Source organism: Homo sapiens, chromosome 6 (assembly GCF_000001405.40).
Source record: "Homo sapiens chromosome 6, GRCh38.p14 Primary Assembly".
Taxonomy (NCBI): Eukaryota; Metazoa; Chordata; class Mammalia; order Primates; family Hominidae; genus Homo; species Homo sapiens.
Window position 1 is genome coordinate 56,418,324 of NC_000006.12, and position 16,535 is coordinate 56,434,858.

General features: G+C 41.5%; 1 pseudogene; it reads right to left on the minus strand.

Moving 5' to 3' along the window:
* Nucleotides 1–13,406: 13,406 nt before the first annotated feature.
* RCC2P7 (regulator of chromosome condensation 2 pseudogene 7) lies at nt 13,407–15,228 on the minus strand (annotated as a pseudogene).

Below are 16,535 nucleotides of genomic sequence, written 5' to 3' on the forward strand. Positions count from 1 at the left end.
GTGCCTGGAACCTGCTCTGCTTCAAGATGTCTGACAATGTGAAATAATGAATCCCCTTATTGTCCAAGATAGTTTGGGCTGAGTTTTCTAAGCCTTTTTGCAGACAGAGGGTAAATTCCTAGGACCTTCTCTTTGGTCTCTGCTCCGTTTGTTGTTAGCATTCTCACAATCCCCATCCCAGAGTGCCAATAAGCAGTGAAATAAACCAAAGGGGAAAGACCCATAGGCCAGAATATTCATGACATTTCCCATAATGTCATCTGAAAGAGGCCAGATTTCTTGAAACATCTCAAGATGTATCTTCAGATAATTCTTGGAAACTAAGTTATAGTAATTCATAATGAAACAGAGTAGCACCCCTACAGAGTGAGTATAGAGTGAACTTGTGGGCAATAACCAGTCGATCAATTATTGTCATTTGTGTTGGAGGGTTTAAAGAAAAAAAGTGACAATTTATAAAACAAACAAACAAAAAGAACTCTTCCTAAATCATAGAGATAAGGATAAAGTAGGGGGCTATAAATTGAAAAAGAAAAGAAAAGGAATTATAACACAAAGATAATTCTCCCCAATCAAGGGACCTTATGTAGTTTTCTTGAGAGATTTCACTTCTAAGTCAATCATATGTTAAAATCACCAACACATAAGGGTAATAAACAGCTTTCTTACCAGCAGTATATTCTCAGCATTAAAGTCTACAATTCATATGCCTGTAAGTGGACTACTGCACATTGTAGGGGTGTCTACAGAGGGCTAGGTTTCCTCAATTTACATTAAAACAAGGTTTCTAACATGAACTAAATACACAGTATGGGCCCAGCAGTCAGAGGCAGTATTGGGTTGCTGTGGGCTTTAGCTCTTTGCTAGAATAACCCTCAACACAAGTTAGGAGCAGAGGACAGTGATCCCACCAGCTCCCTACACTTTGCCTGGAACATCTGAGAGGATGTTATTCTGCTTCCTCCTTTCTTTCCAACAGACAAAATTGACTCTTCAGATGGAATTGATAGAAAGTGAACCACCGAGTCTAATGTGGTAAGGAGCTGTAAAAAGATTAGTAATGGCTTTTGGTGGAAAAACAATTATGCTGAATTACAAACACATCTGCCACACACTCAGCAAACTATCAGAGAAGCCAGATTTTCCTCACATTTTACTTCTTGGACCATTTTCAATTTTCAAATAGAAGATAGTGCTCTAGTTATTGCTAACATGCATTTTCTTTAAATAAATTCAGAATAAAAGTTAGAAAGCCTGATACTATTTCCCATAGAACTTGTTTTTTTCCCCTCCACTTACCCAACAGGAAATAAAAATAACAACCTCTATTTCTATAGTACTTTACAATTTCAAAATTCTTTTATAGGTGTTCATTTGATAAAGAACATTCATTAATCCATTTGCATTAATTCATCTGATAAAGAACAATAAACTTACCCTCTTTGTAGCTCTGCTTAGAGTAATTCCATAAAGATATGAGTGTGCACTCATGCCTGCTGCCTCATTCATTCAATAAATACTTATGGCCTAATCTGAGGCAGGCACAGTTCTAAAGTCTGAGAATACAGCAGTGGGAAAAAGAAACAGACAAAATCCTGTCCTCATGGTGTTTACGTCCTCAGGAACACAATAGAATTGTCTGACATATATCAATTTAGTTGTGAGTCCATGAATACCAAATAGCTTAGTTTTTCTGTACTGTGTTAAGTAGAGAAGGAGGTTTAAATAATTATTATAAGCAGGAAGACCCAAAAACTAATAAATTGAGGTAGGTTACTGCCTAATAGTATGGGGAAAGTTTATTAATTCACCATAAGAAAAAACACACTCCTTTGAAGTATTTCTCAAGTAAGAAAATGGATCTTTCCATTTACCATAAATCCAGCACAGAATAATGAACAGCATGGTACTTCTCACATCCATTCATCACTCACAGATTCATTATCAGTGGAGCATATTACATTTGTTTTCACTTGAATGCTTGCATCAACTTTCAGGAGATAGTAAAATTATCCAAATTTTCCAGATTAAAACACACACACACACACACACAGACACACAAACTCAGAGAGGTAAGGTAATGTGCCCAGAGTCACAAATTTTTGGCCTCTATAGTCTCAGACCCAGATTTTTCCACTTGATCTTTCTATTTCTGAGGACCCATGACTCATACGAACTTAAACTTCTCATTTTGAAGAGATTCCAGGACGAATGCCTTTTCCATTGAACTTCTAAAACATGTTTTCTGTGTACCTCCTGTGACATTTATCATCCCAATCGTCTATTAGGTTTATTGCATTCTTGTCCTACACCTTCCTTTGGACTAGAAGGACCTTATGGTCATGCAGTCTGGTTGGTTAAATGAATATGTGACTGTGTTTGCTTGTTTGTTTATTAAATAGAACAGTGGATTCTACTATGCAGCTCCTCTCATCAAAGGGGAGCTGAAATTGCCCAAGCAATAGATTATCAGAGCAGAACCTTCAGTAGGGCAGTTCTTTCAGGAAGACAGATCAACAATATTATTATTGAGTACCCACTGCACATCAGGCACAGTTTTGGGTGTTTTTCATGTATTACATGGCAGAAAGTCAGCATTGAGGATTGGTATGTGTAGCAGTCAAGCACATGAGTTCCAGAACCAGATCACCTTTGTTTGATGACCAGCTCTGCCACCTGCTAGCTGAGTGGCTTTTGGCAAGTATGTAACCTTTCTGTGCCTCAGTTACATTTTCTCATTAAGTGTATTGTGAGGCTTCAATAAATTAGTTAATATGACATGCTTAAAACAGTGCCTGGTTTCATTCTTCTTTCTACCTGTGGCTTGCACATGGTGCTGGTGGTTTCCCAGCACCATTTATTGAATAGGGCATCCTTTTCCCAATTTATGTTTTTATATGTTTTGTCAAAACTCAATTGGCTGTAAGTATTTGGCTTTATTTTTGGGTTCTCTATTCTGTTCCATTAGTCTACATGCCTATTTTTATACCAGTACCATGCTGTTTTGGTAACTGCAGACTTGTAGTATAATTTGAAGTTGGTTAATGTGATGCCTCCAGATTTGTTCTTTTTGCTCAGGACTTTGGCTCTTGCTTATTGCTTATGGCTTGGTGCTTATTGCTTTGGTTATGTGGGCTCTTTTTTGGTACAATATGAATTTTAGGATTTTTTTTTCTAGTTCTGTGAAGAATGATGATGATAGTTTGATGGGAATTGCATTGAATCTGCGGATTGCTTTGAATAGCACGGTCATTTTCACAATATTGATTCTTCCCACTCATGAGCATGGGCTGTGTCTCCAGTTGTTTGTGACATCTATGATTTCTTTAGGCAGTGTTTCATAGTTTTCCTTTTAGCAGTCTTTCACATCCTTGGTTATCTCTCACTATACAAAAATCAACTCAAGATATAGCAAAGACTTAAATCTAAGACCTAAAACCATAAAAATCCTAGAAGGTAACATCAGAAAAAGTCTTCTGGACATTGGGTTTGGCAAAGAATTCATGACTAAGACCCCAAAAGCAAATGCAACAGGAACAAAAGTAAATAAATAAATGGGACCTAACTAAACTAAAAAGCTTCTGCACAGCAAAAGCAATAATCAACAAAGTAAATAGACAACCCATAGAGTGGGAGAAAATATTCGCAAACTATGCACCTGACAAAGGACTAAGATCCAGAATCTACAAGGAACTCAAACTAATCAACAAGAAAAAAAAAATAATCCCATTAAAAAGTGGGCAAAGGACATGAATAGATATTTCCCAAAAGAAGATATAATGAATAGCCAACAAACATATGAAAAAATGCTCAACATATGTAATCATCAGAAAAATACAAATTAAAGCCACAATGAGATACCACCTTACTCCTATAAAAATGGCCATTATTAAAAAGTCGAAAAACAATAGGTGTTGGCATGCATGTGGTGAAAAAGGAACACTTTTACACTGCTGGTGGGAATGTAAATTAGTACAACCACTATGGAATACAGTGTAGAGATTTCTTAAAGGACTAAAACTAGATCTACCATTCAATTCAGCAATCCCACTACTGGGTATCTACTCACAGGAAAAGAAGTCATTATATGAAAAACACATGCACACACACTTATAGCAGTACAATTCACAATTGCAAAGATACGGAACCAACCTAAGTGCCCACCAACCAACCAGTGGATAAAAAAAATGTGGTATATATACACCATGGAACACTACTCAGCCATAAAAAGGAATGAGATAATGTCCTTTGCAGCAACTTGGATGGACCAGGAGTCCATTATTCTAAGTGAAGTAAATTCAGGAATGGAAAACAAAAAAACCATATGTTTTCACTTATAACTGGGAGCTAAGCTATGGAAACGCAAAGGTATGGAGAGTGGTATAATGGACTTTGAGGACTCGGGGGTGGGAAACGTTGGGAGGGAGGTGAGGGATAAAAGACTACATATTGGGTACGGTGTACCCTGCTCAGGTGACAGATGCACTAAAATCTCAGAAATCACGACTATAGATCTCAACCATGTAACCAAAAACCACCTGTACCCCAAAACCTACTGAAATTAAAAAATTTTTAAAAAGCCTGGAAAATAAGCATTCAATAAATGCTATGTGTTACTATTATTTCACCAAATTTAAAGATGAGAAAACAGAAGCTGGTAGAGGTAACTTGTGCAAGATTACCAAGCTGGTGAGTAACTATCCTCAGAGGGACTGAAGAGGGGCCTGGGCCTGATCTTCCCCCTCTAGAAGTCTATCATATCCAGCCTATCCTGCATATGGTGGAATTAGCCACTGCTAGAGTACTGTCTACATAATATGTTAAAGTACACTTAACTTGGGTAAGAAAAATGAGTAGGCGGCCGAGCACCCACTAGTTATAAGCCTATCTACTTGCTACTTTAGAAATGGGTAAAAAGGGTTTTAAAAATATTAGACACAGAATGTTTCTCTTATGAGGAAGGGACAAGGTATCAGTGACAGACAGGCCTGGGTAGGGTGAAATTCCACCCACGCCCCATCAGGACTAGGTTTAGGGCACCAGGGGTTAGGAAACACCAAAGATAAATAGGTCAATTTTGTCATTTTCCTGGGTTTTTGCTCTTCATCCCTTACCAGACATACTTCTGGGGCAATAGAGACAAGGACAAGGACAGGGAAAACCTTGGAGCTGCGTAACTCCTGATGGTTCTGTCCCCTTCCTTGGGCACAGTTCATTGAAACCTACTTGTGGAGAGGTCTATGGTGATGGGACACAGTTGAGGCAGAGAGAGTAAAGAAGCAAAATAAGAGTCCTCCCTTTGAGAGGAAAAATTGTCCCTATCCAAGTCAGTTCAAATTAGTAATCTAAAAGAAAAAGAAAACTAATTGAGTTTAACACCCTCATCACTCCTCATATGCCTTTACAGGGCAAAACTGTCTTGTCAAAATTTTTGTATGGTTTTCATTCTCTGAGGTTTGCTTTAATTACTAAAACATTTACCCAATGTAATAGCGTCCTGAGTAGCTGGCATTAAGGTCTTTACTTCTTTAGACTGGACCTGTTAGATAACATAAGGAAGCTTTCTTGGATGATTTGAGTCTAAAGGCATCTCTATCAAGACTCAGTGCTAGGGTTTTCCTGGGATACTCAGGAACAGAGCATGTTCACCTTTGCAGAAGCCCTCTGTGCTACACCATCCCCTCCAAAAGTCCTGGCAGAAGAGTGCTCTCCTGTTCTGTTTGTAGCTGGCTGGGGTTACAGATGGAAATGAGCAGAAACTGAGCAGTGCCTTGCTACCTCCTGGGGGGCTGCCAGAACCCGTTCACACTAGAGGGGCTGTTGGAGCCATCCTCCTCAGAGCACTAAAGGCTCAGGCCCTTTCCTACTTTTGGGACCTGTAGACTGTTTTCCATTTCCCCATGAAAGCTGGAATGCTAGATAAGTGCTGGCTTTAGTTACAAAACCTAAGGGATCCTAGAAAGCCAAGTATGTGTGCCAAGCAGCTCTGACCTGCAGTATCCATCAAGGACCTGGTTGCAACTGCAGTTCTTACAGTTTTAGAAGGGAATCCTGCTCAGAGGCCAGAAAGAATCATTTGGTGTCACACAGGATCAATTTATTGGTTTAAAAAAAGGCCAATGATAACCGAAGAATTGTGAAATTTTCTTAGTTGTTATTTAAAAAATCCAAGTATTTGGCATCCTTCAAATGATAAAAGCATGTAGCAAAGTTTAAAAGACTATTGTCCTTTGTAAGCCTATCCACAAGGCCAAGAAGGCCTTTGAACTCTTGAGAGGACTGTACTTGGCTGATAATTCTTTGGAGATATGAGCTGATGGATGTGCTGAAACCTCCTCAAGAACCATTTCCCTCCACCAGCCAGGAGTCAGGGAATAGTAGAGCTGAGCAAGGCAACCTTGGCAAAGACAGGAAAGTCACCCTGGATGCTCAGTTCAAGAGGAGGTCAAGAGCTGTGCAGCGAACACCACTCCATTATAATCTATTTGTGGAAAGCATAATGTGTATTTTTGTTAAAGGACAATCATACACTGAGGAGAATTAAGTTGGCAGTCTGGTGTTTAAAGGATCAGTATGATAGACAAATAGAGTAAGTGTGAGGGGAAATTTTCAGCAACAAAAAAAAATGACTTGGGAGAAGATGTGCTGAGATGACAGTTACTATATGAACCATTTACTTAGGTCAAAGCGCCCGAGATGACAGAAAAGTCACTTAGCTTTCTTAAACAGACAAGCCCTGAAAAACGGCATCCTGCTCAAGCAGTTCATTTACTACCCAGTCAACCACAGACTTACCCAGGAGGGCATGAAATTGTGTCTGGAGCAAACTGTGGCCAAGCCCATGAAGACAAATCATTACTTTCTGGAGTGGCTTTTAAAAATTAAAAATAGGAAAGATATTCCATGAGAAACTATATTCTTTATTGGATAAGTCTAACTGGACCAAGAAAATAGCACGTTTAACTCTCTATTTAAAGGGCAAGAATCAAAATGAGGATAGTTTTAAAGGACCTCCAAAAATAAATGAGTTAAGACTATCTTTTACCTTATGTTTTCAGATTGTGGCAGCAAGGGGTTAGCTTGGTAAGTGGGTGAAGCATTGTGAGGCTATGTTTCTGTGCTTCCTAAAGAAGAATTATTAATATCACCAATCATAGAATTACCTCTGCTTCCTCACAGCATCTAATCCAGAATAAAATCCTACTTCCTTGAACTCTTACCAAAATCACCCAAATCCTATAATAAGTCTTTTCTAACACCCCCTTTTCAAGACACCCCACAATTTCCCACGGAGTGAGATTATCTTCACTGCAACAAATGGATAAACCCAAACTTTCTTACATTTACAGGCAGATTCATGATTGTCTTTGACCAGAGAGCACTGACAATGTAATAATGGACAGAAGTGTTGGTAAAATTCCGCAGTTCAAACTGAGACAGCTCCCTTAGGCTGTGTCCACATGCATTAAAAAACTTGTCATTCAGTGAATTCAGTCAGACTCTTGCAAGAACCACTTCTATTCATTCATTAAAACAGGGTCCAAAATCATTAGTCAATGCGTATTTGTAGCCTCTTTCCCTGTTTCTGCCTTTAATAAGACTCCTAGACCGTTCTTCCTCACTCCTTACCCCATATTCCTAAGAAGGAAAGATCCTGACTGGCTTAGTCAACCCTGGGCCATTGATTGTACAAAATCTAGGGACTGGGAGAACCAGTAGTAACTGAGAGACAGGAAAGGTGAACTCAATCCGTGCAATAAAGAATTGAGCTAGGGTGGGTGGGGAGAAAAAAGAAAGACTGAAGCATCGGGTTTAGAGGAGCCAAATTGGTGAGGATGTGGGAATCTGGGAAGAGAGACACTAAAGCACCTGCAGGAGCTGAGACAGTGGATGTGAAATACAATGAGGAAAAAGAATTTTAAAGAAGTTTCCCTGTGCTTTATGAAAGCGCCGTATACCCCCCAGCCCTCTCTCATGTTCACAGCCTTCTTTACATAAAAGCAAAAACAAAATAACTTGGTATTTTGGAGATTGATTTAAGGCTTAAATGCAAAGCCTGAAACCTTAAAAATTCTTGAAGAAAACCTAGGAAAAACTTTTCTGAACATTGGCCTAGGAAAAGAATTCATGATTCAGGCCTCAAAAGTAAATGCAACAAAAACAAAAATAGGCAAATGGGATTTAATTAAACTAAAAAGCTTCTGCACAGCAAAAGAAATAATCAACAGAATGAAAGACAATCTACAGAATGGGAGAAAATATTGGCAAACTCTGCATCCAACAAAGGACTAATACCTAGAATCTACAGGGAACTCAAACAATTCAACAAGAGAAAAACCAAATAACCCCATTACACAGTAGGCAAAAGACAAGAACACACACTGTTCAAAAGAAGACATACAAATGGCCAATAAGTATAAGAAAAAAATGTTCAATGCCACTGATCATCAGAGAAGTGCAAATTAAAACCACAATGAGATACTATATTATATCAGTCAGAATGGCTATTATTAAAAAGTCAAAAAATAATAGATGTTGGTGAGGATGCAGAGAAAAGAGAATGCTTATACACTGTTGGTGGAAATGTAAATTCATACAATCTTTATGGAAAACAGTGTGGAGCTTTCTCAAAGCACTACAAATAGAACCACCCTGTAATCCAGAAATCCCAATACTGAGTATCTACCCAAAGGAAAAAAATTATTGTATCAAAAAGATAACCTGCACTCACATGTTTAGCACAACGCTATTTACAATAGCAAAATCATGAAATTAACCTGTGTCCATAAATGAATAATTAAAGCAAATGTGATATATATGTACATATATATATGCATACATATATACACACACACACACACACACATATATATATACACACACACACATACATACACCATGGAATACTACTTAGTCATGAAAAAGAATGAAATCATGTGTTTTTTTGCAGCAACATGGATGGAATTGGAGGCCATGATCTTAAGCGAAATAACTCAGAAAGTCAAATATTCCATGTTCTCACTTATAAATATAGACTAGATCCTACTTGTTTTATCCTCAGTATGCAACACAGTGCCTGGCATGGGGCAGTTACTTGACATACTTTGTTTCATCAAATAAGTGTTATCTGGCTTCTTGTTCTAGTCATCACCACCATGCTTTGTCACTGGCAAAGCATTGTAAGGTACCTGTCTCTGTTCAACCAGCATAGGCAAATATCCTAGTACTTCTGCTTTTTCCCTCCTTTTCTTTCCCAATTCAGGCTGTCTTTCAGGATAATAATAATGATAAATCCTGTGTATGGGCATTGTACTAAACTCTTCCTTTTCATTATTTCTACTAATCCTCACAACAATTCTGGAGGTAAACATTGCCCACTTTAAGGTTAGAAATCTGAGGCTTGGAGAGGTTTCATAACATGTCTAGGACATAGCTACTAAGTAAGGAAACAGCAATGCAAAGCCCAGCCCCACTAAATTTCAGACTTTACAAAACCCTTCAGTCAATCCCTAACTTGTGTCGTCAGACCTATTTCTCATCATCTTCCTAAATTCCAGCTCAATAGGACCACCAGAAATTCTCCTCATGTATCCTCACAACTTTGCTTCTATTGTTGCCTCCTCCAGATGCCCCCCTCACATGCCCTGCGCAAAGCCCAACTCAAACATTTCCTCTGTCATGAGGCTATCTCTGCTTTCTCTACCCCTCCATTGGCTACAATCTTGCTTCTTTGTCATATTTAGCTTGAACTTCTCTTACAACAGGTATTATATTCTGCCCCGAATTAGAGCTATTCTGATGCACATCTTTTACTTTATCCTTCTTTACCTTCTCAACTAGGTATAATAACAGCAAACACATATACTGCTTACTAGGTGTCTGAGAACAGTCTAAGCACTTAACATATACTAAGTTACTGAATTCTTATAATAACTCTCTAAGGCATGTACAATGCATATGCATCCTCTCTGTTTTGCCGATGAGGAAACTAAGGCACAAAAAGTTCAGTAAACTTGCCTGGGGTCATAAAACCAATGAGTAGCAATAACAGAGCTTGCACCCAGGTAATACAGCACCAGCACCCATGCCATGAACCATTAGGCCAGGTTGCTCACGTGTAGCAAGATCTGCTGAGCCAAAGAATAAATGAATATACAAATGAATGAATGTAAGCCAGCAAATTCAGTGTAAAATTAAACAAGCCAGTCACATTATTTGGTTTATATGACATCAAGTTACCCTAAATTTGTGGCATTAAAAATAATTTTTATGTGTTAATCATTCACTTTAAAAAATTCCTTCAATAAATATTTTCTGAAGACATTATGCCTGGCCCAGGGCTAGAAGCTGGCTAAGTTTGTGCTGTAAGATCTCACAATCATCCAGGGTGGAGCTTGCAGGTGTCTGCCATTTGCACTGGAGTTGGTTGTGTAGATATTTAATAACTGAGACTTTATGACTGTACTTAATTTTCTTCCTATTATGAACCATGAACTAAAGCAGTGGTTCTTCCCTCCTCATTTGACATTGTCTGAAGACATTTTTGGCGTCACAACTGAAGGTGCAGATGTTACTGGTATCAGGTGGTTAAAATCCAAGAATGCCACCAAGCATTCCAAAATGCACAGGACAGCCGCCATGACAAAGATATATATGGCCCAAAATGTCAATAGTGCCCAGACCGAGAAACCCTACAGCAAAAATATAAAGAAAAATTCCTATGCCAAAAACCAAAGATGAACAAGAAGCTCTCACTGAGAGGGAACCTCTCAGACTCCTTGGAGGAAAGGCCAGTGTAAAATTGAGAAAAATTAATTAAACCATGGCAGTAATAAAGAAATAAACAAAGCATACCCAGCAAAATAAAATCAAGTCTAAAATACTCCTTGAATCTGCAGTAGCATTTAGTAAATTAATCTAATTACTGGGATTTTTGCAAATGCTGCCAGTGGTACGGTTGTTCTGCAAGGAGGAAGATTCAATTGCCAGCCTCCCCAGAAATTCACTTAGGAAAATTTATTATTTAGTTATCCTTGTGTGCTACAGGGTTGAGGTTCTAGAATGAGCAATTGCTTCATCTAAGACAAAACATCTAAACTCAGTGTGTGCAGACGCCTGGCTCAGGAATACCCCCTCTATTTTAGAGGTTAAATATGGACCCAGAGACCACATCCTGCAGATCAGCCCTCAGAGCGGAAGGTAAGATGGCTTCTCCTTTACTGACTACATAGGAAAATTTGGGCTTCCTTGAAGCTCCAAAGAGGGGTCCCTAAGGGATCCTGAGGGGAAAATCACCCCATTCTCCTTTTCCCAAATTATTTTTTTTAGTAGACAATGATGTCGTTTATTTAAAATGTTTACTCCAAGAAATATATATGTATTTATGTATGTATATGACAATTACAGCACTAAACCAGGCACCTTCGACCAAATCACAACCTCCTCTTTGATTCCCCTTCACTCTAAGCCTCTTTCAAATTCTTTCTCCTGAGCTGGGAGACCAGTGAGTTGCCTGCGGAGTCAGCGCCAAACACGTTCACAGCAGGGCAACTGTGTACCTCTCTCTAGGAGTGCACGACGCCCTTCTCCCCAACTCCTTGTTTTAAAGGATTTAACCCATTAGGAAGTTCATTTTGCAATCTAAGCCAAAAGGAGGTATGGGACAAGGCAGTCTTCACTTCGAAGGCCCCTTTCCTGCTCCAGACCCTGGCTAGGGTTCTAGAAGGGGCTGGCCACCGGAAGATCTAAGTCTAGCTCCTGCAAAGGCTGGGACCTCGAGTGTTGCTTCCTCAACTCTCTCGGTGACCACGACTCAAAGGGAGACCTCAAGGGTGCCAGAAGCACAGGTGCCTGGGCTGCGTTCCAGGAAAGAGAACTGTCCAGGGAAACAGATTAGGTTATCGCATGGAAGCCTGAGTCAGAAATGGTGGTTTTGGGGTGATTTGGACAAATTAGGTTAGTTTAGCAAAGCTCTGAAGTGGCAGAAGCTTCTCCCCTGGACTACTGATTGAACACAGAACAAGAGATGCGCGGGGCCTCAGACTAAGTCTTAGAGAGATGCAGGCCAGTCTCCTCCCACAGGGCCTTGGGACTGGCGCGACAGACACTGCTATGTGGCCTCCAAGGGCAGGAGTCACGGTAAGGAGAGACTGGGGTGGAGCAACAACACCTAGATCATTTTTGGCATTTTAACATGGAGACAGTGACAAGCGGTAACAATAGCAAAGCAAAAAAAAAAAACACATTTGAAGAGACCAAAATTTAACTTTCCCATCCACCCAAGTCTCACACTCACTTAAGTTCTATTCCCATCTCCCTCATAAGCACCACTGAACTAAATATCTATTTTAAAGCGCCCAAACCAGTCCAGACCCTCTGGAAACCAAGAGCCCCAGCCAGAGCTGTCCCCCGTTTTGCGTCCAGGCGAGAAGAGCGTTCCGGGAAAGGCACCTCATAACTCACTCAGCACAGCGCACACGCAGAGAGCTCGGGCACTTGATGGGGACACGGGTGGCAGCCACAGCATCAGTGCTGATGCGCAAGGAAGGGAACTCTTCAGTAATCCCAACTATTTAGTACCAGAGCCAACCAAACGTGACTAAAGGGAGCTGAGCCAGCAGAACGGTACCCCGAGTCTCAGCAACAGGATGGCCAGTGCGAGGCAGGATGCAGGTAGGGTAGAAAAGGAGACCAAAGCACAAGGTGATCAAGGCTGGTATGGAAAGGGCTGATCCTTCTTGCAAGGACTAGATCTCTAATTGGCGAGTGCGTGTAACAAGGCTCAGCCAGGGCTCCACAGGAAGCCACTAAGCCGACTCAGCTGATACAAATGTTTCCACCTCTGCCCCACCCCCAAGTCCCCATGGTTCTACCACCAACTGATTTTCATTTGGACTTCTTTAACAGCTGAGGTAGATATAAATGGCTAAACACAGACCCCCCTCCCCCACCAGGGGAGCCAGGGCAGATTCTCTATGTTGCAGCCAGAAGGCTGTGGGCGTACAGGCCGCCAAGGGGAGAAACAGAACCGACGCCGGCCTAGGCGGATCTGCAAAAAAAAGCGGGAAAGGAGTGACCCGTATGCTTCCGAAGCACGCGACCGTGATTTTGGATGGAGGCGGGCGGGCAGGGACTGACTTTGCCTAGCTGCTGCCGGTTCCTGTAAAGGACTATTTTTTCTGAGTAAATGGTGATTCCTCTTCCATGTAGCATCTGCTTGGATCACGGATGCTAATTATAACTGGAAAGGGGGTGTTTTGGGGAGTGTATTCAGGAAAGGAAAAAAGAAAAAACTTAAAAAAAAAAAAACTCTAGATTGCTCAAAGTTTCTACCTCTTCTGTAGGAATGGTAAGTCAACTATGAGCAAGTATTTTAATTCGACATTAAGGGGAAAAACGTACTTTGGAAAGCATAGAAAAAAAGGTGGTTAACGTTGGATCACTTGTAAAACGGAACCTCAAGGAGTCTAAACAAAAATGCACCTTTGGTCGACTTTCACTTTTTTAAATTCCTCATTTCACTTCACGAAGTCCCAGTGCACATGGAAATGACAGCTGCCGCCAGAGGTATGGAGTCGGAGGAGTCTCCGGAAGCATGGGAGGGTTCGGGGTTGTATTCTGGCAGTTTCTTGATCTCTTTCTCGGTCTCACTTTCGTCTCTTGCTATCACCAAGGAGTGTGAGTAGCCCATGGCGACCTTCTCTGAGAAAATGAAGACTGTGGATGCAGAGTCTTCACCTCCTGGGCTGCAGTGGAAGACTTGGGCTTGTGGTCCCCCTAGCCCAGTTCCCCGAAGGTCGGTGATAGGCCCCAGCTGATGGCGCTCTCGTCGGCGGCCACAATGATACTGCTCTTCCCACAAGCCAGGCTCTGGATTCTCCAGCCACAGAGGTCCTGCACTGCTTTCGGGTACATGGCAGATTCACGGGAGGTAGTGGTGGCCCTCCGGAAAAACAGACCACCCACTTCACTGACGGCCAAGGAGCAGGTGTAACCAGCATAGATCTGGGACGCACCACGCCAAGGGAAGTCAAACAGCTTCACCAGGCGGCGGACCATCTCGTCCTTCTGCTCTGCGTGGCCGAGCCGGCCATAGCCACCGAAGCCCCAGGAGAAGACTCGCTTCTGGGAGTCCAGGACCACGTGTGGTTAGCACCACAGGCCACGTCTCACACAACCACGTTTGGTACAGGCAGAATCTGTCCGTCTTTCGTCTTCTCAATGAATATGGCCAGTCGCGGGGGAACCAGTTCGCAGTCGTACTCTATCCGCCGTGCCCCAAAGATGAACTTCCCATCCGAGTTGTGTCCCAGCTGGCCATATTCAGGGCACCCAAAGGAATAGAGGTTTCCTTTTCAGTCCATTATCATACTGAATTCAGCCCCACAGGCCATTTTGGTAATTGGCTGGCCGTTATACATTATCCGCGCGGGGCTGCACAGCGTCTGTCTGGTTGGCAAGGCCCAGCTGCCCCATCTTGTTCTCCCCAAACGCAAACACAGAGCCCGTTTTCGTCAAGGCCAAGGTGTGGTTCCACCCACATGCTGCAGACATGGTCACTTCATGGCAGAGACCCTCGATGAATCTGGGGGCCTCTACTCTCTTGGTGTCGCCATGTCCCAGCTGCCCCTTCTCATTTCGACCCCAACTCCACAGCTTCCCTTCCATGGTGATGAGGAGGCTGTGTGCAGCACAGGAACCTGAGATCACTGTCCGTATCCGGACCCCCGCCAGACAGCCATACCTGTGGGGACCCCACAAATTCTGACCGAGATCGCGGTAAGCAGTTTGCTGTTTAGGCACTTCTTTTCGACCAATCATGTCCCAGTTAGTTGCCCCCAAAATCAAAAGCTGCCCATTGCACTTTGACCCTTTAAGTTTGACGCGCTCCTTGGCGCCCCGCGCGCTTGTCCCCGCACGGGTCCCAGTCGAGCTCCACGCGGTCCTAGTCACCACTGCAGCCGCAGCCGCGGCTGCTGCTGCAGCGTTCGGGCCGCTCGCCCTTCCTGCCCGCCGGACCTCCGAGCTTCCTGGGCCCGGCGCGGGCAGTGCCGTTGTCCGAGCTCGGCTCCTCCCAGGCCGCCTCCGCCGCCGCCTTCTTCCTGGGCTAGTTGGAGTGATGAGAAATAGGAGAGAAAAAAACGAAGAGAAGCAATTAAAAGACGGATCGGAGGGCTTTTTTTTTTCCCCGGCCCAGAGAGGGATCCAGCCCACTCACCAGGTACACTTCCCAAAGTACTTCTATCCAACCCTAAATCCTAGTAAGAAAAGAAGTGCACGCTCTCAAAGAGGGCTAAAGGAAATAAAAACATGGGATAGCGCCAGAACCCTGGGTTCAAATCCCAGCTGTAGCACTTACTAGCTGGGATGACCTTTGATAAAGTGATAGGCTTCTCAGTGCCTCGGTTTTGTCGTCTGTAAAATGGGAGATAATAACTCACCTCACGGGGTTCTTGGGGGAATTAATACAAATAAAGCATTTGAAATAGTTCCTCGCACACAAAAAGTGCTGTGTAAACCTTGGTTATTATTATTATTAAAGTATGAGTTCATTGAAGGAAAATGCTGTACCTCATTTTTATGGATTTCCCTAGGCTTAACGTAGTGCCTATGTTACTCCCAGAATATATTATCATAATTCAATTTTCAGGTGACTATATTTTGGTTTCATATCAATACTTTAGTCAAAGTGCCCTCTCATCATCTAAGGCTGATATAATTTTGGGGTTTTGCCAGGTCTGATTGAAAAAGAATATATGCTGCAGTTTTGGGATACTGCCTTTTTGTCTTCTTATTTTATCAGCTACAGAGAGGTATTTTTAAATCTACATGTATGATTGTGAATTTTTCTAGTTTAAACAATTTTTGTTTTATATATTTTAAAGATACATTATTAGATGCATATACATTTAGAATTGTGTTTTCCTGCTGAATTGACCCTTTTTATCATGAAATGTCACTCTATATATCTAGTATTATTCTTTGTCTTAAAGTATACTTTGTTTGTAACATAGCTGTGCCAGCTTTCCTTTGGTTAGTGTTTGCATGGTATACATTTACCATCCTTTGACTTTCACCCTATCTGCGTCCTTATATTTAATGTGTATCCTACAAACAGGAATTATTTGGGATAATTAAAAATTATTCTTTCAACCCAGAGAACTTACTTCAGTAATTCTTGTATTGCAGGTCTGCTAATGACAGCTTTGTTCAACTTCTAATTGACTGAAAATGTCTGGTTTGCTATAATTTTTGAAAATTCTTTTAGAATACAGAATTCTAGACTAGCAGGTTTGTTTTCGTTAGCACTTAAAAATATCATTCCATTAACTTCTGCTTTCATAATTCTTGTTGAAAAGTTTGCTATTTATCTTAGGGTTGCTCTTTGAAGAAGATTAGTCTGAAGCACATGTTTCTTATATGTCTATATTTTACAACTTCCTCCATCATGTTATGTAAGCTACTTAGTGGCAGGGATCATGTGCGACTTGTTCATCAGCAGCATCTGGAATTGTGCCTGGCACATCTATATTCAA